Here is a 26,315-nt window from a genome sequence, read left to right on the forward strand (position 1 = left end):
TGCAGCTGGTGCTGCGTGGGAACCAGGATCCGAAGGCCACACTCTGTTGAGGAGATCAGGGGCGTGGAGAGCATCTACATCCATGGATGAGAACTCCAGAAGCCAGGAATAACAAGTGGGATTAGCATGAGTAATGGAACAGAAGGGAACAAGGTGATGAGCGAGGTGTAACGGAAAAGGCTTGGTGAGGCATACCTGAGAATGGGTGGTCTGTTCCAGCCCCTGGCTTGCAGATCACTCCCAACTACTTTGTAGGAAGCCAGAGGGCCCTGGTAAATCTCATCTTGTGCCGGATGGAGTGTGAGAGCTGCTGGCAGGTATTAGCTGGGGGAGAAATTGCCAACGTGCAGGATTCAGGGTGGCAGATTTTTTAAATTATGCTTCTGTGCTTCTGAACTGCCTCTAGTTCATAGCCTGTTTTCTGGAGCCTGGACTTCTGCCAGAGTGTCACCTCTTACCGGCAGCCCCAACACCTCTCCCTTGTTGAACATCCTGTGGCAGCTTCCCCCAGAACCGGGAAGGTGACGCTAGGAGGCCAGAATGGAATCTGATCCACTGATTAGCTGTGTAAGCTGGGGCAGAACACTTCACTTCTCCATGTCTCAGCTTCCTCACCTGTGAAATGGGAATAGTACACCCTCCCTGGCTGGCTGCGAGGATTAGGAGAGAAGACATGAAGGGCGGAGCCTGTGTGTCTTGTGGCAGGCACATAAGAAATGCTCATTACATGGTAGTAGCTGTTGATTTTTATTGTGGAATTCACCCTTTAAAAAAAAAGCTTTCCAGGTGTAGGGCTGTATTTTGGAGGTCAAATTAGTATTGTAGGAAAATTTTGATATGAGAGGGGAATGAGCTGCCTATTCGAGATGACTGGATGGGAATAGAGTGCAAACAATACTTCAACATCATCGCAATAGCGTTCATTTCATTAATCTTGGTATAAAAAAGAATGCAGTGAACACAGTGAGTGCAATGATGCCCTGAAAGGGTCCCTCTAGCCCTCCCACAGGAGGTATTCTGGTGCTTTGTTTATCTAGCAAGCAAGGACCTCCCCTACTATACATCAGGCACATGCAGGTCTCTGGAGCTCCAGCAGAGACTAGATAGTCTGTAGTCTCAGGCATTTGCCGCCTGGCAGTCAAGACAAACGTATCACTGGGCAGTTTCAGCGTGGGCTGTGTGACAGTAGGGATTGTATTGAGGGGGACAGGGGAGGGAGGTGCTGCAGAAGTTGCAGAGCCAACACCGTCTGATTGATCCAAACAGCTAGGAGAAGGCATTTGACATCCTGTGTGCATTTGCAGATTGCCAACATACATTCTATTTTAATGAGCAGAAACTTGGGCGCCTCTGGAAAAACATGCAGCTGGGCAAGCAGAGGCACATAGTGGATCGAGATCAAGCTGCTTAAGTTGGTCTCATAGCACGGAGGGAAGGGGACTGTGTTTACTGGGTGCCTTCCTATGTGGCAGGAACCTTCTGTACTTCCTTCCACTTTATCCTCACAGCAGCCTGGGGAGGTGGCTGCCAGAATCCTTGTTTTATAAATAATTAACAGGCCTGAGCCTCAGTCTCCTGCCAGTGCCCAGGGTCAGAAGCTGTAACTCCGTAAAATCGTCCTGAACCTAAGGAATAGAGACAGCATTGAGAAGCTCTTCACCGCATCCTCAATGCCTCGCCATTGCCTGACTCACAGGCGGCAGGTGGGGGCTTGTTCTGCCTCTGTGGTGTGGAGTAAGAGGGAAAAAAAAAATGTCCTTAGGGGAAAATGAGTCTTTCTTGCTGGCATGCACAGGGCTGGAAGCTAGCAGGAAGTATGTGCTGCAGGCCAGTATCCTTCTCACCACCTTTCTCCCTTTGATCGTGTCTGTAGAGCTCCTGACATACTGGCTCTTGCCATGTTAGGTGTCTGATTTTCACTTAGATCAGGAGAAGACTTGAGCCTCTTAGTCATTTGAAGCAGGAAGACCCTGCACGAAGACTCTCAGCTGGCAGGGACATTTGTTTTATAATAGTTTGTTTTAGGACTGCTTTGAAATCCAAGGAGCTCTATAGACAGTTCCAAGTGGTGCATATTTTAGAATTAGGTAGAATCTGGTGGCATCATGGAAATAACCACACAGTCTGAGAATATTGGGTGGTCAGTACATGCTCCATCCTCCAGGAGGACCACTCTCTGTGGCACCCTGGACTACCTGCCCCCGCCCCCCGCCCAAGATGATTGGAGGTCAGATGCATGGTGAGAAGGTAGATCTCTGGAGCCTTGGTGTTCTTTGCTATGAATTTTTAGTTGGGAAGCCTCCTTTTGAGGCAAACGTACACCAAGAGACCTACAAAAGAATATCACGGGTTGGGCTGGGCATGGTGGCTCACGCCTGTAATCCCAGCACTTCGGGAGGCCGAGGCGGTCGTATCACCTGAGGTCAGGAGTTCAAGACCAGCCTGATCAACATGGTGAAACCCCGTCTCTACTAAAAATACAAAAATTAGCTGGGCGTGGTGGCGCATGCCTGTAATCCCAGCTACTCAGAAGGCTGAGACAGGAGAATCGCTTGAACCCGGGAGGCAGAGGTAGCAGTGAGCCAAGACCATGCCATTGCATTCCAGCCTGGGCAACAAGAGTGAAAGAAACTCCATCTCAAAAAAAAAAAAAAAAAAAACGAGTATCATGGGTTGAATTCACATTCCCTGACTGTAACAGAGGGACCCAGGACCTCATTTTAAGACTGTTGAAGCATAATCCCAGCCAGAGGCCAATGCTCAGAGAAGTACTTGAACACCCCTGGATCACAGCAAATTCATCAAAACCATTAAATTCCCAAAACAAAGAATCAACTAGCAAACAGTCTTAGGAATCGTGCAGGGGGAGAAATCCTTGAACCAGGGCTGCTGTATAACCTTTCAGGAACATGCTACTAAAATTTATTTTACCATTGACTGCTGCCCTCAATCTAGAGCGCTACAAGAAATATTTGTTTTACTGAGCACCTGGCAATGCCTGAACCTCCCTATTCAGAAAGCTCCACATCAATAAACATGACACTCTGAAGTGAAAGTAGCCACAAGAATTGTGCTACTTATACTGGTTCGTAATCTGGAGGCAAGGTTCCGCTGCAGCTGCCCCCTCAGCCTGGGCCAGGCATGGTTTCTTCCCAGGAGACAAATCCAGAGTGTGGCTGTGGGGAAAGTGACCACTTTGCCCTGACTCGATCGGTTAAGGAGCTGTGCAATAACCTTCCCAGTACCTGAGTGAGTGTGTCACTTATTGGGTTGGCCAAGCCTAGTAAAGCTGTTGGAATGAGGATGTGATTCTTTTTAAGTGTGAAAAAAAAAAAAAAGATTTCTGTACAGATTTGTATTTGTTCTCTGGTGGCATTCCCTTAGAAATGCTCTGTGTCTGTCCAGCACCCCGGTAGGCCTGGTTGGGTTTCTAGTCATCTTTAACCACTTATCTCCCATATGAGAGTGTATAAAATAGGAACACATGCTCTACCTCCATTTAGGGACTTGCAACCTCTGCATCCCAGGTTCAAGTGATTCTCCTGCCTCAGCCTCCTGAGTAGCTGGAATTATAGGTGCCCACCACCATGTCTGGCTAATTTTTTGTATTTTCAGTAGAGACACTGTTTCACCGTGTTGGCCAGGCTGGTCGTGAACTCCTGAACTCAGGTGATCCACCTGCCTCGGCCTCCCAAAGTGCTGGGATTACAGACAAGAGCCACCGCGAAGGGCTTATTTTTTAAAAAACACTGGAGTCATGGCATGTGTGTAAACTTTAAATATGCAAATAACTATGTCAAAAAAAAAAACAAAACGGAGCTGGATGTATCTTGAGGTCCAAACATCATAGGTCCATGATGGAGGCAGGAGTCCAATGGGACTTTTAAAACCATAAAACAGCTTAGCCACATCAGGGCCCTTCTCTTCACTTTGTAAGGGAGGAACCACAGCCTCTCCCAAGGTCACAGGGCACCAGGATGAGGATGAGGGCCCCTGGGTTCATGTAGGCTCTCTGCCACCATGGGGCAGGTGTGGCTCCTGCATGGGTGGTGAAGTTTTTTTTTAAAAAAACTTCTCAAAAAATAATTTTTCTCAGCCAAGTGTGGTGGCATGTACCTGTAGTCCCAGCTACTCGGGAGGCTGAGGCACAAAAATCACTTGAACCCCGGGAGGCGGAGGTTGCAGTGAGCCAAGATCGTGCCACTGCATTCCAGCCTGGGCTACAGAATAAGACTCCATCTCAAAAAAAAAAAAAAAAGTCCTCTTCCTTCAGCCGGATTACGATTTATAAATAATTTAGATGATTAGTGGATAATTTAGATAGTGCAGGCTTTCTTCAGATGTTGTCTTCTTAGCTAGGGGAAGGTTTGTTAACCACATTAGAAGGTTTCAGAAGATGAGGACATTGAAAATCAGATCTTCAGCCTGTTGAATTCTAACTCCTCATGAAGAAATGGAGACCCTGAGAAAGAAGTGACTTTGCCCAGGGTCACGTGGCTAGTCAGGGCCCAGGCAGAGCCAACACCCGGGCCTCTTAACTCTGGGGAGAGCAGGAGAGCACACCTTCCCAGGGCCCGTGGAGGGCTGGGGTGCATTTGGGGGTGGATGAGAGAGGTATCCTGGGGAAGATGTTAGCTTGGTGTCTAAAACCAAAGTAATTGGAGTAAAGTCTTCCATGACTTGGGAATTGGGGACTTTTCTAGTTATTGTGGTGAGGGCCTCCAGGGTCATATCTGTGACCTGGAAAAGGCTGAGTTGGCATCTTGTTTGGCGGTGTGACTTGGGGCGTTCACAGAACTAATTGCTGATACTTTCTTTCTTTTCCTGTGTCCCTGTAGTTATATCAACATGCCCCCTTTCCTGTTGCTGGAAGCCGTCTGTGTTTTCCTGTTTTCCAGAGGTAAGATGTGTTTATTGGTGGTGGGGAAGTACTGGCGTGTTGAGTAGGGGGGTTGCTTGCTTCAAATCCTGTTGATTTTCAATTCTAAAGGTCTCTTGAATCCACCTGCATCTCCCCTCCATGGCCACCTCCCTAGTCCAAGCCATGTCATCTTGTGCTTGGACCACTGCAGTAGCCTCCTGCCTGGCCTCCCTGGGTCCCCCGGTCCTCCTCCAACCCATTCTCCATGCAGTGGCTATTTCTTTTTTTATTTTTAAGTTCCAGGGTACATGTGCACGATGTGCAGGTTCGTTACATAGGTAAATGTGTGCCATGGTGTGTGCCATGATGGTTTGCTGCACCTATCAACCCATCACTTAGGTATTGAGCCCAGCAGGCATTAGCTATTTATCCTGATGCTCTCCCTCCCCACCCCACCACTCGACAGGCCCCAGTGTGTGTTGTTTCCATCCCCATGTCCATATGTTCTCATTGTTCAGCTCCCACTTATTTTATTTATTTATTTATTTGAGATGGAATCTCTCTCTGTCACCCAGACTGGAGTGCAATGGCGCAATCTCTGCTCACTGTAACTTCCACCTCCCGGTTCAAGTGATTCTCCAGCCTCAGCCTCTTGAGTAGCTGAGATGAGAGGCACGCACCACCACACCCGGCTAATTTTTGTATTTTTAGTAGAGAAGGGGTTTCACCATATTGGTCAGGCTGGTCTTGAACTCCTGACCTCAGGTGATCTGACCGTCTTGGCCTCCCAAAGTGCTAGGATTACAGGCATGAGCCACTGCGCCTGGCCCTCAGCTCCCACTTGTAAGTGAGAATATGCGGTGTTTGGTTTTCTGTTCCGGCATTAGTTTGCTGAGGAGAATGGCTTCTAGCTCCACCCATGTCCCTGCAAAGGACGTGATCTTGTTCCTTTTTATGGCTGCATGGTATTCCATGGTGTATATGTACCACATGTTCTCTATCCAGTCTATCATTGATCAGCATTTGGGTTGACTCCATGTCTTTACAGCGGCCATTTCAAAATGCAAATTGGATCATGTCTGGACCCCTCTTCACCCCCAGCTAAAACTTTTCAGTGACTTTCTGTGGCTCTTAAGAGGCTTTTCTCATCTTACCCCGTGGCCATCCTGAGTCCCCTCTACGCCCTCTGCACCACAGCCCACTCTCCTTCCAGTCCTGCCCTGCATCCTTGCTCCCCGCCACCAAAAACATTCTGAATTATGTTGCCCCTGTGCTTGGATCACCCCCTCATCCCAACACTGCCACCCTGGCAAACTCCTCCCCATCCTTAGGCCCCAGCACAATTCCCCTGGGACCTCCAGATCAAGTCACATCCCCCTCTTCAAACCCCTTGTAGACCTTGCTCTGTAGCACTTAACACAGATATGAGTTTTGTGTGCATTTTAAAAAATGACATCTTTTCCATAAGATGTAAGGTCCTCAAGGAAAGAGACTGTACATTCTTTAACATTCTTTATTCACCACTATATTATTTCAGGGCGGGCATGGCTCACGGTTTATGCTTCAGAAATAGATTAATGAATAAATAATGGAGCAAATCCACTTTCTTTTTACTTCCCACTTTTTCCCTTTCAAGTTCTAGTCTCTTTGAAATATGAGAAGGTAGGAAGGAATTGATGTGTCTGCAGATTGTTGTCTTACAAGTAAGAACAGGTGGACTGGGCGGCCAAGCTGTCACAGCCTCGTGAGGCTCGGGGTCCCCTTCTGTAAAGCCAAGGGGTTGCACAGTGGCCTCTGGGATTATTTCTTGCAGTTCCTCCCTGGTCTGTGTTTCCATGAGTAGGTATTTGTTCTCTGCTGAATTGGCTACTGTTAATACCTGCCTGTTTCCTGGAACCTAGCGAGGATCAGAAATGCTGGTGGAAGTTGAGGGCTGGTGGCTCCAGCCTGGCTGCCCAGCCCAACTGTTTCCCTCTGTCTCTGAGCCAGGTGGGGTGGATGGAAAGTATAACACAGCAGCTTCATGGCCAAGGGGTTGGGGAGTGGTGAGATGTGTTTGGGGCCAGGGCCTGAAAGAAGTCTCTGGAGTCCTGGGCACAGTCCAGGTTCTGTTCCAGCTTGTCATGGACCTTTGCCTTCTGTGGCCCTGTCCAGCCTCCAGATTGCAATCACATGCACTTGTTCTGATCATCCTTGGGTTATACAGATGAGGCAGGGGAGGCCCAGAGAGGCCCTGTGACATGCCCAAGGTCACACAGCTATGTAGCAGACATGGGACTAACACCCAGTTCTCCCTACTCCTGGGCTGGCTGTACCGCTCAGCTTCTCTGGAAAGATAAGAATGTACAAAAGTTCTCTCTAAGACTTGGCTGTCACATCTGTAAAGTGAAAGAATTTGACTAGATTAGTGATTCTCAACTCTGCCTGCGCAATAGCGTCACCCATCCTGCAGACTGAAGTTCCGGAGCCCAGGCAGCTGGTCTTTAGAGGGGGCTGCCGACTTGGTTGGAAAAAGCAACAGCAATCACACATGAAGCAGCTGCCTGTTCAGGGGGAGCCTCTGCAGTCCTGAAGACATTTCACAGGGAGCATTGGGGATGTCACCCAGGCTCAAGGTGGGCTCATCTGAAGCCTGGCACCTGCCATGACAGCTGAGCACAGGGCACAGAGGCACAGTTAGTTAGCTGAGTGACATCTTTAGTGAGTGGTCTGTGCTCACAGAGCTCCCTTGCCTTCTCATCCTGGGGAGATGGCTGGCCTGCCTTCAGCTGGAGAGTTTGCTGGTAAGATATTTTAAAAGAAACTGTATTTTTCTGTTCTTTTTGGGGTCTTTAGGATTCCTCGGCTACTGGGCCCTTTGTCAGGAGAATAATTCATGGACTCAGCTCAGGAAACCTTAGTGCCTATGTGTTTACGCAGAGGGCTGGGCGAGGCTCTGTGGAGGACTGGGTGGAAATGCTTCTGTCCTCAGGGAGCTTCCAGGCAGGAAGGTGAGGGGCTCGTGGGAACAGAACCGCATTATGGGGTGGGCCGCAGTGGGCCCAGGAGTTGGCATGGTCGTGATCTCTGAATGCAGTGAGCAGAAAACCTGTAATTTTTTTTTTTTTTTTTTTTTGAGATTCAGTCTCCCTCTCGCCCAGGCTGGAGTGCAGTGGTGCACTCTTGGCTCACTGCAACCTCCGCCTCCCGGGTTCAAGTGATTCAACTGCCTCAGCCTCGAAAGTAGCCTCGAAACACACCCAGCTAATTTTTGTGTTTTTAGTAGAGATGGGGTTTCACCCTGTTGGCCAGGCTGTTCTTGAACCCCTGACCTCAGGTGATCCACCGCCTCAGTCTCCCAAAGTGCTGGGATTACAGGCGTGAGCCACCCCGCTGGCCTGTTTTTCTTTTTAATGCTGCCCCTGCCTCTGTCCCAATAAATGCCATTTTTTAAATGCAAGTAGATTTTTCTTTAATTTTGTCTACTGTCTTTCTTTCTAGTCTAAGTCTTGTTTCTGTCTCTGGTGGCAAAACAGCAGCGGCAGACTGTGCCAGACCTAATGAGAGAGATTTGTCTGGCAGCTTTTGGCTGTGGAGCTGACTGCTGGCACATTGACTTAGAATCTCCATGAGTAGAGATTGAGGGGAGGAGGGAGTATTAGGTGAGCAGGAGCTGTCTGCTCAAAGATATGGTATGGGGAGAGACTAGTTTAGTTTGCATGGGGGACTAGTGAACGGGAAGGAGCCGGGAAAGACAGAGCTGGAACCAGCCGAGGCAGTGCTGAGTTAGTAGGTTGACCAATAACGTGGGTCATTGGTGTCACTCCCCCAGACTGAAACCCTCTTTTGGCGTCTCTCTTGTCATCACTTTCCTGGCAGTTGCAAACCTTGAGACCAGGTGCCCTGTACTGTGTGATTCCTCCTGGCCTCCCTGCTGAATCTCCTTCACCTCTCTCCACAGCAGCCCCCATGCTCATCTGCCATTCAGGTTCAAACAGTTCTCCTGCCTCAGCCTCCCAAGTAGCTGGAACTATAGGCGCCCGCCAGCACACCCGGCTAATTTTTGTATTTTTAGTAGAGATGGGGTTTCACCATGTTGGCCAGGCTGGTCTTGAACTCCTGACCTCAGGTGATCGGCCCACCTCGGTCTCCCAAAGTGCTGGGATTACAGGCATGAGCCACTGCACCCGGCCTGCTTGTGTTCCTTCATCTGCCCCACTTCCGTGACCTGGCCGCTCCTGGGCTCTGCCCCTCTAGCTTTGTTTCCTCTGTGCTGTCACTGCACATTGACATTTACAAAGCATCTGAGTGTACCTCTCTTCTGCTGCTAGACACCTACCAGGTGCAGTTGCAGAGAGGATGTTGGCTTTTCCAAATGTCCCTTCTGGGGATCCCTTATTGTCTTCCATCATGGTTGGTTCACTGTTCAGCAATCCTGTGGCCTCCTCAGTGTCTTATCCCCACCCTCCAATTTCATTTCCCCTCCCCTCTCTCCTCTCCCCTCTCCCCCCTCCCCGTCCCCCCTCCCCGTCTCTCCCTCCCCCGTCCCCGTCTCCCCCCTCCTCTCCCCCACTCCCCCCTCCTCTCCCCACTCCCCCCAGTTATTACACCTGACCTGACACCTCACCCCCCTCCCCGCTTATTACACCTGACCAGGGACAAAAGTTTTCAGAATCACAGACTCTCTAGAACCCCACTGTGTGTTAGTTTTATTCTTTGTCTTCAAACTACCCACATTTAAATACAAAGATACCTCATAGAAGTGAGGTAATTGGGGGGTTTCTTTATGTTATCCGTCTGGTAATTTTTGAGATGCAAGAATCATCACTCCCCCACATTCTAGGTTTCTCTGATGTTACCTGTTTAGTCAAGTCACTTAATGTGGAGATTGAGCCTCCTCCCCTCTCAGCATTTTAATGGCTGCTTCTGGTGTTTTCTCTCCTAGTGCCCCCATCTCTCCCTCTCCAGGAAGTCCATGTAAGCAAAGAAACCATCGGGAAGATTTCAGCTGCCAGCAAAAGTAAGCCCAGGTTCTTCTTAACCCTCCAGATGCCCACTCAGACCTCTGTGTGATGGACTGGATGAGAACCATGTTCTTCCAGAGAGTTTCTGCCCCTTTCCCATCTTCCTTTCATGCTCTGGCCAGAGTCATTTTCCCCAAACAGGGACCTGACCAAATCACTTGGTTTAAAAACAAACAAAAGTGGGTGCCTGTAATTCCAGCTACTCGGGAGGCTGAGGCAGGAGAATTGCTTGAACCCAGGAGGTGGAGGTTGCAGTGAGCTGAGATTGCGCCATTGCACTCCAGCCTGGGCAACAAGAGGTACACTCCATCTCAAAAACAAGCAAAACAGCTCAGTAAACCTTTTTTTGTTTTGTTTTAAAGACAGGGTCTTGCTCCTGTCGCCCAGGCTGGAGTGCGATGGCATAATCTCAGTTCACTGCAGCCTCAACCTCCTGGGCTCAAGCAATCCTCCTGCCTCAGCCTCCCAAATAGCTGGGACCATAGGCATGCATCACCACGCCTAGCTAGTTTTTGTGTTTTTAGTAGAGATGGGGTTTCGCCATGTTACCCAGGCTGATCTCGAACTCCTGAACTCAAGCAATCCGCCCGCGTTGGTCTCCCAAAGTGCTGAGATTCCAGGTGTGAGCCACCATGCCCAGCCTCAGTAAATCTTTATTATTGAATTACTTGGCCTGTGCCTCAAGGTTTTCTGTTACCTGCTCACCAGGTAACGGGGTGGCTACTTGCCATGTCCATCTCCCACCATATTCCTTCCTCTTCCACCCTCATCAGTATCCCTCCACATTGCTGCTGTTACTGCTACTGAACTCTTGGGTAACATGGCCTCACATATCAGGGTGCCTGTGTCCACACTAGACTGTGGTCCCCCGAGGCCTGGGACCAAGCCTTTTCAGTGCTGCTCACTAGCCCAGTAGACCCCCTCATAGAACGTAATTGATATTGTTGAACTAGGTTCTTCCATTATTGTAATACAAAGGCTTTCACGTAAGGGCACATTTGTGAGCAGCACACCTGTGGTGCGTGTGCTTCCTGCTTCAGAGGAGGGCTGCTTCTGCAGTTCTCCCCTTTCATGCTAAGAGGGACAGCAGCCTGGCCCACCACAAGGCTGTTTGTGCCTTCACTCTGCTTCAGAAGTGAGACCGACTTGCTCCTGGTTGTCATCTGTCTGTCCCGCTCTCCCTAGTGATGTGGTGCTCGGCTGCAGTGGACATCATGTTTCTGTTAGATGGGTCTAACAGCGTCGGGAAAGGGAGCTTTGAAAGGTCCAAGCACTTTGCCATCACAGTCTGTGACGGTCTGGACATCAGCCCCGAGAGGGTGAGTGCAAGTCTTGTGGGTGTTTGTGTTAGGGCGTCTTCTGTGATAAGGGACAGAAACCCGGTCTCAAGCAGAGGAGGCATCTACTCGCTTGTGGAGCTGGGAAGACCAAGGGGCTGAATCCTGGTTCCTGGCATGGTGGGATCCAAGGGCTGAGTTGAGGCTATAAGGCATCTTTTTCTTTTTTTTTTTTTCCCTTCTCTCAATTTTGTTTTCTTTTGGTTGACTTCCTTCTCAGGCAGGTTTTCCTGACACAGCCAAGTTGTCCTGCATTGTTCCTCAAGCTAGTGACCCTATTAGAAATTAAGGGGACTTCTTTCTCTAGATCTGGCCAAAGTCCCAGGAGGGTTCTGATTGGGCAGGCCTAGGTCACATGATAATCCACTGACCAATCACAGTAGTCAGAGGGAAGAGAGTTTCTGGCCGGACCTCAGTTAAGAGCTCTGCCATGTTTTTGGGGTAGGGAGTAGATTTGACTTTCCTCTGGAAAGAGAGGTTGGGTTGTGTTTGCAGAACAATGGGAAAGGGAAAGCATGCTAAGCAGACTAAAGCTGTTACTACCTCAGTGGACTGAATAGCACAGCTCCTACCCTCTCTTGCACTTGAGAGGAACTATTCCTGCTTGAGTGAATCCAGCCAGTATCTTCATTTCTTGTTCTTCAAATAGTAGGTCTTAAATATAGCAGAGTGTGGTAGCTGTGGCTCTTATTTCTAAAAGGGGCATTTTTTTTTTTAACAATCCAATAGAAAAATGGGCAAGGAACACAGATAGTTCCCAGAAAATGAAACACGCAAGGCCTTCAGGCATATGAAAAGAAGCCCAACCTCACTCACTCAGAGTCAGCAAACCCTATGCCTAATATACAGTTTTTCACTTACTGGGTTAGCAAAAAAAATCCTAAATTTGGTGACATGCTTCATTGGCAAATCTTGAAAAAAACTGGTGTTGTCATACACTGCTGGTGGAGTGTGAAATGGTGCAGCCTCTAGGGGAGAATCCAATAGTATTCATCCCAGTTACAAAGGCTTGGACCCTTTAACCCAGCAATTCTACATCAAGGAATTTATTCTACAGTACACATGCCCATGCAAAATCGTACCCATACAGAGTTATTCATTGCAGCATTATGTGTATAAACTGTAAAATATTTCAGGCAATCCAGATGTACGCTGAGGGAGGACAGATAAATCCCTTATGATGCATTCGTATATTGAAACGCTAGGCAGCTCCAGAAAGTGAGTGAGGAAGCTCTCTGATATGGAAAAACACCAGAACAAGTGAAGTGTCAAAGTAAGGTGCAAATGGTGTGTATAATATGTTACTTTCTATGTAAAAGATAAAGGGGGATGAATGAAAATCTGTCTTTGTTTTCTTGTATCGGTATACAGTTTTCTTATATCTGTATACACTCTGGATGGATTTGTAAGAGGCTGAGGACAGTGGTTTTCATTAAGGGGGAGGTTGGGAAGTGAGTTGACAGGGCACAAGGCCAGAGGCAGACTCATCAATACAGACTTAAATATTTTCTGGATTTTGAATCACGTGAACCTACTCAAAAGTCAACTTAAAAATTAAGAGAGGCTGTGCGCGGTGGGTCACGCCTGTAATCCCAGTACTTAGGGAGGCCAAGGCGGGTGGATCACGAGGTCAGGAGATTGAGACCGTCCTGGCTAACATGATGAAACCTTGTCTCTACTAAAAATACAAAAAATTAGCCGGGCATGGTGGCACGTGCCTGTAGTCCCAGCTACTCGGAAGGCTGAGGCAGGAAAATCGCTTGAACCCAGGAGGCAGAGGTTGCAGTGAGCTGAGATGGTGCCACTGCACTCCAGCCTGGGCGACAGAGTGAAACACCGTCTCAAAAAAAAAAAAAAAAAAAAAAATTAAGAGATGATGTAGCCTGGAAAAGCTGTCATTACTTGGATGAGAGACTGGTTGCATACAGGTTGAGGAAGGAAGTGGTTTTCCAAGATAACATTCCTAGATTAATCCTAGTTAAAACCTCTAGGATTTAGAAACATACATGGCTTTTAATGAGGGCCAGATTTTCTGCAGAATGGTGTGTCATTTGGGGAGCTGGAGCACACTTCCTGGACCTTAGACCACCTTGCACCTGAGGACACCATAGCAGGCATCATTTAATCTAGGCACAAGCAGCCCAGAAGATTTCTAACCATGATGTTAACCCAGCATAGACCCTAAAAGGGCCAGGCAAGAAGCGCCAGTTCCCCACCATCCTCTGCACAGGACCCTGCTTTTAAAAGGGTTCCTTATCAGGTGTCATTAGTTACTCATGGAGGAATAACATAAAGAGAAGAAGCATGAAGATTAAACACTGTTGACCTTGGCATTGATGTAGTGTGTCCTGAAATGAGTAGCCTGGAGACCCTGGGGTTGGCTAGTTGGGAATGAAGGGTCCTATGGATTATTAATGCATGTTTCACAGATGAGGGAACAGGCTCAGAGAGGCTAAGTGACTGCCGAGGGTCACACAGCAACCTCAGGAGAGAGTTAAGTGTGGAAGAACTGGGGCTTTTGACTCAGCCCAGGACTTGCTCCATTAGGCCATTTGTCTTGACCCTCAGAATTCACACCCTGCTATCACACAGCAAATGGCCAGCAGTGTGGCAGTGTATGTGCGTGTGAGGAGGGAGTGGTGTAAGAAAACCGTGACAAGAAATTTCCTGGCTGATGCTATTGGGAGCAGATCCCAGAGTTCAGGGAATTTAACCTGAGCATTGCTGGACCACATCTAGAAAGTGTCATTGAGTTCTAGGGGCTGACTTCTTGGTTAGACTTGGGCCAAACAGTCAGTGCCCATGAGAAGGAGCCAGGACAGCCAGAGGCCTGGAAACCTCTATGAATGAGGGAACACGATTATCATTTTCATGTGAAAGAGAGCAGACAATGGCTCTGTTTTTTAAGGGTAGAATCTGGGTGTTCAGGGAGTTAGATTTGGGCTTAACCTGAGGAAAGCTTTCTTGCAGCAAGACTTGGGAAGCAGAGGAATTGTTTACTTGGGTAAGTGAATTAGTGTCTTGACCTCCAAGGTCAGGTGGACCCCTTGGCATGCTGCAGAAGGGTTTGCATGAGGGCAATTTAAGATGGTTTATTCTGACTTGTGGCTTCAGGCTTTATGTTTTTGCTGCTGCATTTTTTTGTATTCTCTTTTTGTTGTCTCCATGTACAAGGCATTTCATTCGTGCCATGTTTTACTTTTTTTAACTTTAGTTTTCAAGAAGAAATGTCAAGTAGCTGTAAATTAAGACTTTTATGGATGCTCTGTTGTTAAGGTGGATTTAAGGTGTTTGAAGTCTTCCTCTTAACACTTAAAAGCTGAGAGGTTCACTTCCTGGCTCTAATGTAGTGACTGGGGCAGAGTGATTATGGCTGGTAAGATAGCTGGGCGGGCCTGTTTCTGAGCGTACAGTAAACTGAAGATAAAAGGCAACTATTTTGTTCCCAAACCACCAATTAAACAAAATGCTTTAACTACTGACTTAAGCTGCTTCCTTCTTGTTTTGAAGTTCTGTTTCTTCCTGTTTAACTCAAGTAAATACACCCAGCTGTTGGTCTCAGGGGAGGTTATTTTTTCAACTAAGTAATTCATTCACATGGGTTCAATAAAAAGATGTACAGTGAAAAGTCTCCCTTTCACCCACACATTTTCCATTTGCCCTGTCCCTCAACTTGTGTTCTTGAGTCCCTTCCGGAATCACTTTGTGCAAATACAGGCAATATGAATAAATATTCTTCTTTCTCTCTTATTACACAAAGCGTAGCCTACCGTACACATTATTCTCTCATGCCTTTTTCCTCCTCACATTTTCATGGAAATCTTTGCGTATCTGTATACAGGTATAATTTTTTTACAGGTCATTAAAATGTTTCATCATAAGGATTTCTCCAGGTCTAATTAACCCCTATTGATGGATATTTGCTGTTACAAATAAACTGTGATCTCGTAAATAACATCATTTCACACATACGAGTAGGATACATTTCCAGTAGCCCTATGCATTTGTTTAAATTTTATTATTTTTAATTTTCAATAAATATTAAAAAATTGCCTTCCATGGATGTTGTACCAATTTACATTTCTACAAGCAATGTTTGAGAATGCTTGTTTCACCCCGAAAACATTGTATATGTTTTTTTGCTAAATGGATGGGGAAAAATGCTATTTCATTATGGTGAGGCCAGGTGTCTTTCCATCAAAGAGTTACTTGTATTTCCTGTTCTGTGATCTCTGTTCAAATCCTTTGCCCATTTTCTGTTGGATTGTTGGTCTTTTATATGTTGATTCCCAGACACCTTTTTATATATTGAGGAGGCTAACCCTTTAACATGAATTGCACATAATTTTTCCATTTTGTCTTTATTTTTTTATGCCATTAAGGTATGTTTCGTCCCACAGAAGTTGTTTTTTTTTTTTCATGTGGTCACATTTATCAATCTTTCCTTTATGGCTTCTGGATTCTAAGTAATAGAAAGTAAGGTCTTTTTACACGTTGAAATTTTAGAAATTCTCCTGAGTTTTTCTAGAACTTTCATATTTAGATTTTTCACACTAAAATCTTGAATTCATTTGCAGTTTATCCTTTATTTTTGGTAGATTGCTCTCCAGTTGTCCCAATATCATTGACTGACTAGATCATCTTTTCTCCCTGGTTTGAGATGCCCCTTTTTAATCACACACTAAATTCAAGGAAAACCCAGGAAGCGCTCCTTCCCAGAAGCTTCTTCCTGAGATCACCTACTGGTCCGTCTTCCTGTGTCCGTCTCCCCAATGTGTCCACTGAAGACTGAGATTTCTTTCTGCTTAAGGTGCCCAACAGCTCCTCCCCAGAGCATCCTGCCTGCAAAAAGGAACCCCACCCAGCTGATCCGGAGCAGATGCAGCCCGCCTGGTGTGGCAGGGCGTTTCCATCATCTCCCACGTCCCACGCCTGTCGAGGGAACGGCAGCGAGGGAATTCAAGTGGGGAGCAGAGGGCAGCATCATTGCTTAAATATGACTCACTTGGCCCATTTGCACTCTTGGCCAGAACTAGGGTTAGTTTTGAGAATAGTTACAGAGAATGCTGTTTCTCCAGGGGTTTTGGAGAACCAATGATTAGGTGCAGGCCTTGGGCCCTCGGGAGGAAAGCTGAATGTTTGTAGTCTTCTCTGCTCAAGACACGCTAGTGCCTTAAGGATCCAGAGAGCAACTTTACTCAGTTTCCTTTCTCCAGTTTTGCAAGGTATTGGATCTCCTATGGCCTCCTCAGTTAGGACACAAAATCTATGTGGATTCACCAGTGTTCTCCTTAATTACAGAAGAACTTCAGCCCCCATACTAGTCGTTTCAGTTGTAGATGCTGATTGTCCCCCAAATCTGACTGTGGTCTAGAGACCTGGCCTTTCCTCTAGCTTGGCAGGGGCAGGTCTGGCGGGGCTGACCACCCAATGAAGGACCGGGTTGTGGGGTGGCTGTGGTTAGTGATGAGTTATCAGTGATGGTGGCTATGGTTAGCTTCTGCGGCAGCCCCAGTTGGGTCAGTAAGTGTTTCGCTGCTGGCTTGTGTGGGCTGCTGAGAAGGCAGGAGGTATAACTGGGCCTTAGGGAAGACCACAGGCACAAAGTCCAATGGCCTGGCTGCCTTTCTTACTAGTCCTGGGCAAGTAAGCATTTGCCTTGGGCCAGAGGTATATATTCTCCATATTGGGGTTTCTCCAACCATAATGTGGGTGTTAATAGTGCCTCTGTGGATTAAATGAGATAGTGCCTGAAACTGCTCAAGACAGCACTGGCAGCTAGGAGGCAGTTGGTAAAAGTGAGCAGAGACCCAGCCCTAAAGATGCACAAGCTCAGCTGAGAACACTGCCAGAATGTTCAGCTGCCTAGCAGTAGGTAAGTCAAGAAGATTGAATTGGGGGTCATCAGTGCAGAACACAAACAGATTTGGCTGTTTTTTTCCAGGTTCTCCAAATTGGTCTTTGGAACCTCCTTCTAGGGAGACTGGAGAAAGCTCTGGCACTGGTGTTTGTTGAGTGGATGGGAGGCAGGGTTGTTAACTTTTCTTGCCCCTTCTTTCCTCTTAGGAATGTTTTTGACTCCAGTCTCGGGGCCCTGAGCCCCCTGTCTCCTACTGCAGGTCAGAGTGGGAGCATTCCAGTTCAGTTCCACTCCTCATCTGGAATTCCCCTTGGATTCATTTTCAACCCAACAGGAAGTGAAGGCAAGAATCAAGAGGATGGTTTTCAAGTATGTATGATCAGATACTGCTGTGGTTAGGGTGACGCCAACTGCTCTTAAAATTGCTCCCTTGAAGGGTTTGGTCCTGCTCTGGGCTCACAGAGAGGACTGTGGGCTGCTTTCAGGAGTCCAGCTGGGCACAGTTGGTCACATGAATTCCATTCTCAAGGCTGCCCCTCCTTATTGCATGATAATGTCCCAGGTAGGAATTTAAATGCAAGTAAAAAAATTGCTGCTGTGATGTACAGTTGTCAGTTACCTGGGAGAAAGTGCTATTGAAGGTCACGAATGGGGTTAAGAGCCTGGAGGAATAGGAGGAACACTGAGTCTTAATCCCATTTCTGTCCCTTGTGACCACTGCAGCTTGGACAGTTCACCACACTTCTCTGAGCCTCATTTTTGTGGTCTAAAAAGAGTAAGTGCCCCCCTGTTATTAAGAGTGCTTTAAAAATTATGAATATCTGGTTATGTGCTTATACATATACACACCTTATGTGTTAGTCTGTTCTTGCATTGCTATAAAGAAATACCTGAGGCTGGGTAAATTATGAAGAAAACTTTTATTGGCTCATGGTTGCGCAGGCTGTACAGGAAGCATAATGCCAACATCTGCTCCTGGTAAGGGCCTCAGGAAGCTTCCAATCATGGCGGAAGGCAAAGGTGGGGGGGCAGGTGCATCACATGGCGAGAGCAGGAGCAAGAGAGAGGAGGAGGTGACACACATTTTAAAACAACCAGATCTTATGTGAACTCACTCATCGCCAATGGATGGTGCTACGCCATTCAGGAGGGATCCGCCCCCATGATCTAGACAACTTGTACTAGGCCCCACCTCCAACACTGGATTACAGTTCAACATGAGATTTGGAGGGGACAAACCTCCAAACAATATCGCCCTCTAAATATATATATAGTCATATGTTTACTTACATTATAAGTTAGCTGATGTGTACATCTGAATATGATATGTGTGTTTATGCTCATATGTTTTTATACACTTATATTTTGTGTATATTTTATATATTATATATACATATAATATATATGAATGTGATATGTAAATATATGCATATATACATATGCACATATTGACACATACATGTATATACATACACACATATATATAATGTTCTTCACAAGCCCTCATAGAATAATGACTTGATTTGCCCCTTGCCACTCTGGTCTGTGGATCCACTCTGGGCTCCTGCTGCCCCTTGTACTAGTGTCCACTGAAGTCCTCTGAAGTCCATGGTCACAGCCATTTATGGCTGTCTCCTCCCATTGCAAAGGCTCTGAGCTCTGAGGGCCTTTTTCCAGTTGCAAGCCTCTGTAGGTCTACCAGTGCTCTCAAGAAGCCTGAGGCCCCACAATGGGCACAGCAGGGACTCTGGGAGCCCTGCAGGCCTCAAGAATGTCCTAGTAACCCTCACTGACTTTTATCTTAGACTCTCTATCCCAGCCCTTTCCTCTGCCGTCGAACAGATCAAGCGGCAAGTCATCATGCAAGAAAGTACAAAAGGAAAGAGCTCATTAATATGTGTTTATAAAATACAGTAGTGCACATCGGCCTTTTCTTCTTCCCCTGGAGCCTTGTGCCCTTGGGGCCTCCGAGAATTGGCTTCTTACAGAGAACAGTCTCAGCCTTGCTCCGTATCTTTGACTAAGACACACAGTGCAGGGGCTTCCTCCCAGATTTGTGGAATCACTGTCTGCTCTTGGTATATTTAGGAATATGCGCTTTGTTTTTGAAGCACAGTCTCACTGTGTTGCCTAGGCTGGAGTGCAGTGGTGCTATATTGGCTCACTGCAACCTCCACCTCCCAGGCTCAAGCCATCCTCCCACCTCAGCCTCCCAAGTAGCTGGGACTGCAGGCATGTGCCACCACACTGGGCTAATTTTTCTATTTTTGTAGAGATGGGGTTTCCCCATGTTGCCCAGGCTGGTCTTGAACTGCTGAGCTCAAGCAATCCACCTGTCTTGCCCTCCCAAGGTGCTGGGATTACAGGTGTGAGCCACTGTGCCCAGCCAGGAATCTCCCCCATTTTTTTTTTTTTTTTTTTTTTTTGTGAGACGAAGTCTCACTCTGTTGCCCAGGCTGGAGTGCAGTGGCACGATCTCTGCTCACTGCAAGCTCTGCCTCCTGGGTTCACACCATCCTCCTGCCTCAGCCTCCCGAGTAGCTGGGACTACAGGAGCCCGCCACCACGCCTGGCTAATTTTTTGTATTTTTTAGTCGAGATGGGGTTTCACTGTGTTAGCCAGGATGGTCTTGATCTCCTGACCTTGTGATCTGCCCGCCTTGGCTTCCCAGAGTGCTGGGATTACAGGTGTGAGCCACCGTGCCTGGCCGAATCTGCACTTTTAAAAGGCGTCTCCCCACCCTCCCCTGTGACTGTTACACACGCTAACTTTTTAAAAACAGCTTTATGGAGATATATTTTATATGCCATAAAGTTAACACATTTAATGTGTACAATTCAATAGTTTTGAATATATTTACAGAGTTAAGCAACTTTTACCCTATTCTAATTTTTGAACATTTTTATCACCTCACAAAGAAACCTTGTAAGTAGACATTGTTCCAAAGAAGATAGACAAATGGCCAATAAGTACACAAAAAGATTGTCAACATCATTAACTATTAAGGAAATGCAGATCAGAACCTTAGTGAGCTACCATGTCATAGCCACTACGATGGCTCAGAGACTGACAAAAACAAGTGTTGGTAAAGCTGTGGATAAAGTACAGCCCTCATCCATTGCTTGTGGGATTTGTAAGTGGTGCCTGCCACATTGGAAAAAGGTTTGGCAGTTCCTCAAAATGTTAAACATAGATTTAGCATATGACCCAGCAATTCCACTTCAGGAGAGTTAAAAACACGTGCACACGAAAATAGTTGTATGCTAATGTTCATACCAGTGCTGTTTATAGCAGCTCCAAAACAGAAACAACACAAAATATCCAACTAATGCATGTATAAACAAAATGTTGTATATCCAAACAATGGAATACTATTCAACTGTAAGAATGAACAAAATACTGATTCATGGTACAGCATGGAGGAATCTTGAAAACATTAGGCTAAGTGAAAGAAGCCAGGCATAGCAGGTCATATACTATATGATTCCACGTTTTCTTTTTTTTTTTTGAGATGGAGTCTTGCTCTGTTGCCCAGGCTGGAGTGCGGTGGTGCTATCTCGGCTCAATGCAAGCTCCACCTCCTAGGTTCACACCATTCTCCTGCCTCAGCCTCCCAAGTAGCTGGGACTGTGGGTGCCCGCCACCACGCCCGGCTAATTTTTTTTGTATTTTTAGTAGAGATGGGGTTTCACCGTTTTAGCCAGGATGGTCACTATCTCCTGACCTCGTGATCTGCCTGCCTTGGCCTCCCAAAGTGCTGGAATTACAGGCGTGAGCCACTGTGCTCGGCCAACTTTTTTTTCTTTTTTTGAGATGGAGTCTCATTCTGTCGCCCTGGCTGGAGTGCAATGGCACGATCTTGGCTCACTGTCACCTCCACCTCCCGGGTTCAAGCGATTCTCCTGCCTCAGCCTCCCGAGTAGCTAGGACTATAGGCGCTCGTCACCATGCCTGGCTAATTTTTGTATTTTTAGTAGAGACGGGGTTTTGCCATGTTGGCTAGGCTGGTCTCGAACTCCTGACCTCAGGTGATCCACCTGCCTTGGCCTCCCAAAGTGCTGGGATTAGAGGCATGAGTCACCATGCCTGGCCATGATTCTACTTTTTGTGAAGTGTCTAGAATAGGCAAATACATGAAGATAAAAAGTGGATTAGTCATTGCCAGGGGCTGACGGGAATGAGGAATGGCTGCTAATGGTACAGGGCTTCTTTTTGGGGTAAAGAATAGATTTTGGACTTAGATAGTGGTGATGGTTGCACAGCTTTGTGAATATACTAAATATCACTGAATTGTACACTTTAAAAGTGTGAATTTTATGTTATGTAAGTTATCAATAAGGTAGTTTAAAAAAAAAATTTACCCATTATATGCAGTATGCATTTTCGGAGGAAAAGGCTGTTGGTTTAAGTTTAGGGCTAAAAGTCAAAGACCATTTGAGTGACTTTGACTCAAAGAATTCACCTCTGCTCTTGTCTGAAAAACTAATCAAATCTCAAAGAATTGGTACAAAAAGGAGCAAGGAGCATTAGAGATCATCTGGTATGTTTTCCCTCCCTTATTTTACAGAGGAGGATATTGAGGCTAAGAAGAAACAGGGGCCCTGGCCAGGATCAGTGGGTTACACTGCCAATCCAATAGGCCCCACCCAGCTGTCCTTTCCCACCTCTCACCACGCTCCCTCTCCCACACCCCCTAGATGATTAGTTGAGCTGCTTTTCAGCTGTGTTGAGGTCATAACTAAGGGCTTGAGAGCATTATTTATGACATATGAAATGGAGAGACACACTAAGATTGAGGACATTGAGGGTGGAGAATGAAGACTTCTTATGTGTCTGAACAAGGTCTGCTCTTCTGGGGCTGTGTATGATTAGCACTTATGTTTCCTAGGACAACTGTAAGTGACAACAAACAAGGAAAGGAGGCACTGATTTTTGGCCCCAGTTGTGGGGTCACTGAGGACACTAAAAATGAAGACAGGCTGTTATGAATCAGAATGGAGGAACATGGGCCAAATGGGAGTGATGACCTCCCCGGAGCACTTTGTTCTTTTTCTACAGTGAAGTTTTCTTTTTAAATTTTCAACTTTTGGCCGGGCGCGGTGGCTCACGTCTGTAATCCCAGCACTTTGGGAGGCCGAGGTGGGCAGATCACGAGGTCGGGATATCGAGACCATCCTGGCTAAAACGGTGAAACCCCATCTCTACTAAAAATACAAAAAATTAGCCGGGCGTGGTGGCGGGCGCCTGTAGTCCCAGCTACTCGGGAGGCTGAGGCAGGAGAATGGCATGAACCCAGGAGGCAGAGCTTGCAGTGAGCCGAGATCGCGCCACTGCACTCCAGCCTGGGTGACAGAGCAAGACTCCGTCTCAAAGAAAAAAAAAAATTAAACTTTGTAGGTACGTAGTAGGTATATATATGTATGGGGTATGTGAGATGTTTTGATACAAGCATGCAATGAGTAATCATCATGTCAGGGAGAATGGGGTATCCATCCCCTCGAGTGACAGTGAAATGTTAGATGCTTGACTGATTAGGACAGCTCAACTCAAACCCAGGACACTTGCCTTTCCAGACCGAGGCAGTCCCCCAAAAGTATGTTTTGAGGTAGTGAAGAAACCACTCTGACAACCACCTTATTGCTACCTTGCAAGAAGTTTAAAAAACATTGCAGTCAAACCTTCCAACATTGCACCCCACGATGACATAAAATCAAGATAAGACCTGGCTGGTGATTGGTTCCTGAATGCACAGAGCTCCTGGCCTGCTGGCTGCCCGGGCTTGCTCATTTCATTAATCTCATAGTAACACAACCCTGTGTTTACTGTGACTGAATTTTTTGGACTCCCTCCATAGCTTTGTCTCCACTTTACCTTGGCAGAAAACGGTTGATAGCCTTCCCCGGCCCCTTTCAAACCACATTAACGTTTAAATATGGCTTTTGGGTTAGAATTACAAAGCATTTTGTCCTTTTTTTTCCCCCTTAATATTATTTGGTATGTGCTTTTACATAAAGCTGTATTATTTTTCATGTTGATTGTTTTTAATGATTATTTAATAATCCAAGTTCAGGTATCACAATATATTTAATTATTCTCCTAAAAGGTAACATTTGATTCCAGAATTTTTGTCTATTGCTGGAAAAAAAAGCTGTAATCAACATCCCTGTACCTACAGTGGGTTTTCTTTTCTTTCTTTTTCATTTTGAGACGGAGTTTCACTCTTGTCACCCAGGCTGGAGTGCAGTGGTGCAATCTCAGCTCACTGCAACCTCCGCCTCCCAGGTTCAAGTGATTCTCCTGCCTCAGACTCTCCCGAGTAGCTGGGATTACAGGCACCCGCCACCATGCCCGGCTAATTTTTGTATTTTTAGTAGAGATGGGGTTTCACCATCTTGGCCAGGCTGGTCTTGAACTCCTGACCTCAGGTGATCCACCCGCTTCGGCCTCCCAAAGTGCTGGGATTACAGTTGTGAGCCACCGCGCCGGCTGGGTTTTCTTATGAATTATTATTATTGTTATTTTTAAGACAGGGTCTTTCTCTGTCACCCAGGCTGGAATGCAGTGGGGCAATCTCAGCTCACTGCAACCTCTGCCTACCTGGTTCAAGCGATTCTCCTGCCTCAGCCTCCCGATAGCTGGGATTACAGGCCCCCGCCACCACACCTGGCTAATTTTTTTTTTTTTTTGTATTTTTAGTAGAGATGAGGTTTCGCCATGTTAGCCAGGCTGGTCTCAAATTCCTGACCTCAGGTGATCCACCCACCTCGGCCTTCCAAAGTGCTGAGATTACAGGCATGAGCCACAGTGCCTGGCTTCTTATGAATTATTTTTCTTAGTCCGTTTCATGGCCTGCTGACATCAGAATGACCTGCAGGAAGGTGAGGGAGGAGGGGAGGGAGTGCTGGTTTGAAATCTAGATTTTCAGGCCAGGTTACAGACCCACCAATTTGGACTGTCAGGGAATAGGACCTGAAAATCTACATCATTAAGTCTCCTGAGAGATTTTTATGAACACTAGAATTTGAGACTAGACTCAAAAGATAAACTTCTTACAGTAGGCTGCTGTGGGTTCATTTTGGTAACAGCCACCCACTAGGTCCTCAGAGGTGCTAGACCCAGTATTTCATCCTCTAACAATACTATTTCTTTCCCCTTTTAACATGGAAGGAAACTGGGACTCAGGTCAAGTAACTTTTCCAAGTTTACCTGCTAAGATATTTCAGAACTAATATTTGAGCCCCTCCACCTCTGGAACTCATGTTCTTAATTACCTGTCTGCACTGATAGCAAAATGTTTTGATTCTAGCCCTCCCACCCCCCACCCCCAAAAGTTCATACATGGCAGTCATAACCCCCAAGACAGTAGCTGATCTGTGAACCTTCAACTTGCAACCTAGTTTAGTTCAATTTGAGAGAAATTAGAAAAATTCTGGTGAGACTCTGGCCTCAGAGCCCCCTGTCTGGGTTCAAGTCCTGCCTTCGCCACTCATGAGTGGCATAACCTTAGTTTAGACCCTTCTCTGGACTCTCCTATTCCAGAGAGCTGTGGTGAGAATTATATGGGCATATGCTAAGCATATATAGGTAAACATAGGTTGAGCACAGCGCCTGGCACACGCTAAGTGCCCAGGAAATATTAGCAGTTACTGTCACTATTCTCTGAGTGGGGTTTCCTCGTTTGTTAAACGTAGAAATAGACCCTGAGCTCAGAACAGACTCTTAGGCAGAAGTGCTTCCTGGAGTAAGCGGAGGGATTTCTTTTTCTTTTTTCTTTTTTTTTTTTTTGAGACGGAGTCTCGCTCTGTCGCTGAGGCTGGAGTGCAGTGGCGCGATCTTGGCTCACTGCAAGCTCCGCCTCCCAGGTTCACGCCATTCTCCTGCCTCAGCCTCCCGAGTAGCTGGGACGACAGGCACCCGCCACCATGCCTGGCTAATTTTTTTGTATTTTTAGTAGCAACAGGGTTTTACCATGTTAGCCAGGATGGTCTCGATCTCTTGACCTTGTGAAACGCCCGCCTCGGCCTTCCAAAGTGCTGGGCCTTCCAAAGTGCTGGGATTACAGGCGTGAGCCACCGCGCCCGGCCAAGCGGAGGGATTTCTTCTCACTTCTCAGAGGTCAAGCCATGGGGAATCTCACCTTACCTTGGTCGCAAGCCAGCAGACAGTTTTCTTGTGGTAACCCTTAACAGGGTGCTGAGGTAGAGAGGGTGACAGCATTGGTATCACTGTGCTGAGCAACGTGAAGGGTAAGTACCGTCAGGCCTGTGCAGTGGGCAGCCTGGGCTCTCATGTCCCTGAAACTTAATTTCTCTGTAACCACAGGCTGATGGTTGTGAAGAGAGAGGCCCAGACCCATTAGAAAATCTGGATGGGCCAGGCGTGGTGGCCCACGCCTGTAATCCCAGCGCTTTGGGAGGCCAGGGCGGGCAGATCACCTGAGGTCAGGAGTTTGAGACCAGCCTGGTCAACATGGTGAAACCCTGTCTCTACTAAAAATACAAAAATTAGCAGGGCATGGTGGTGAGTGCCTGTAGTCCCAGCTACTCGGGAGGCTGAGGCAGGAGAATCGCTTAAGCCCAGGTGGTGGAGGTTGCAGTGAGCTGAGAGTATGCCACAACACTCCAGCCTGGGTGACAGAGTGAGACTCTGTCTCAAAAAAATAAGAAAACAAAATCTGGCTGGAACCCAAGCCTTCCCCTGAAGGTGGTAGATGGAAAGGAAAAACAGTTTAATTCTGAAGGGGCCAAGGGCAGACCCCTGTGAGAAACAGAAAAGAGTATGGGGAACAAGCACTTTTTCTTTTCACTCCTGAAGCTGTGAGCCTGTAGGAGTGATAATGATCAGATGGACCACAAGGGAGGGGAGGCTTTGGGGAAAGAAGGCAAGGACTGGTTTAGAACCTCAGGATCCAAGAACATAGCCAGGAGGCCATAGGGCTCACTGGCCAGTGGGTAGAGGAGCAGGTTGCTTCAAAGCCACCGAAGCACCTTGGCTTTGGATGAGAAGAAAGTCTTGTGAGCATTTAAGCAGGACAGTTTAGAACAGGAGTTGGCAAACTTTTTCAGTAAAAGTTGTATAGTACATAATTTTAATTTTCAGGCCAGTGGTCTCTGTGTAGACAGTACCTAAATCAGTGAGTGTGGCTGTTTTCCAATAAAACTTTACAAAAATGGGCAGCAGGCCAGATTAAGCTGAGCCCTGGAGAGGAAAGAGTATTGGCTTCAAATTCAGCCAGACTGGGCTTAAACTCCAG

The 26,315-nt window shown here is 46.9% G+C and overlaps 1 protein-coding gene and 1 pseudogene across 8 annotated transcripts in view, besides 1 other annotated feature; both read left to right on the top strand.

The window, feature by feature from the left end:
• Positions 1-26,315, top strand: part of VWA2 (von Willebrand factor A domain containing 2) — a 55,247-nt gene that overhangs the window by 4,612 nt on the left and 24,320 nt on the right. For 3 of the 8 annotated variants that reach the window (NM_001272046.2, NM_001320804.1, XM_017016179.3), the window contains exons 2-5: positions 4,839-4,900; positions 9,786-9,860; positions 11,050-11,183; positions 17,321-17,430. In NM_001272046.2, coding sequence (NP_001258975.1) covers positions 4,849-4,900; positions 9,786-9,860; positions 11,050-11,183; positions 17,321-17,430 — 371 coding nt within the window. In that variant the 5' untranslated portion in view covers positions 4,839-4,848. Of the gene's footprint in view, positions 1-4,396; positions 4,474-4,838; positions 4,901-9,785; positions 9,861-11,049; positions 11,184-17,267; positions 17,431-26,315 lie in introns of those variants that run through there. The other 5 variants (XM_017016177.2, XM_017016181.2, XM_017016178.2 and 2 more) reach the window with 5 other exon arrangements.
• AURKAP2 (aurora kinase A pseudogene 2) lies at positions 2,131-3,511 on the top strand (annotated as a pseudogene).
• Positions 21,092-21,292: a silencer, noted in NCBI's record as "peak1096 fragment used in MPRA reporter construct". NCBI's record gives its function as "represses an SCP1 promoter by STARR-seq MPRAs in K562 erythroleukemia cells {active_cell/tissue: K562}" and the evidence as "EXISTENCE:reporter gene assay evidence [ECO:0000049][PMID:32103011]".

This window comes from Homo sapiens, chromosome 10 (genome assembly GCF_000001405.40).
Source record: "Homo sapiens chromosome 10, GRCh38.p14 Primary Assembly".
Taxonomy (NCBI): domain Eukaryota; kingdom Metazoa; phylum Chordata; class Mammalia; order Primates; family Hominidae; genus Homo; species Homo sapiens.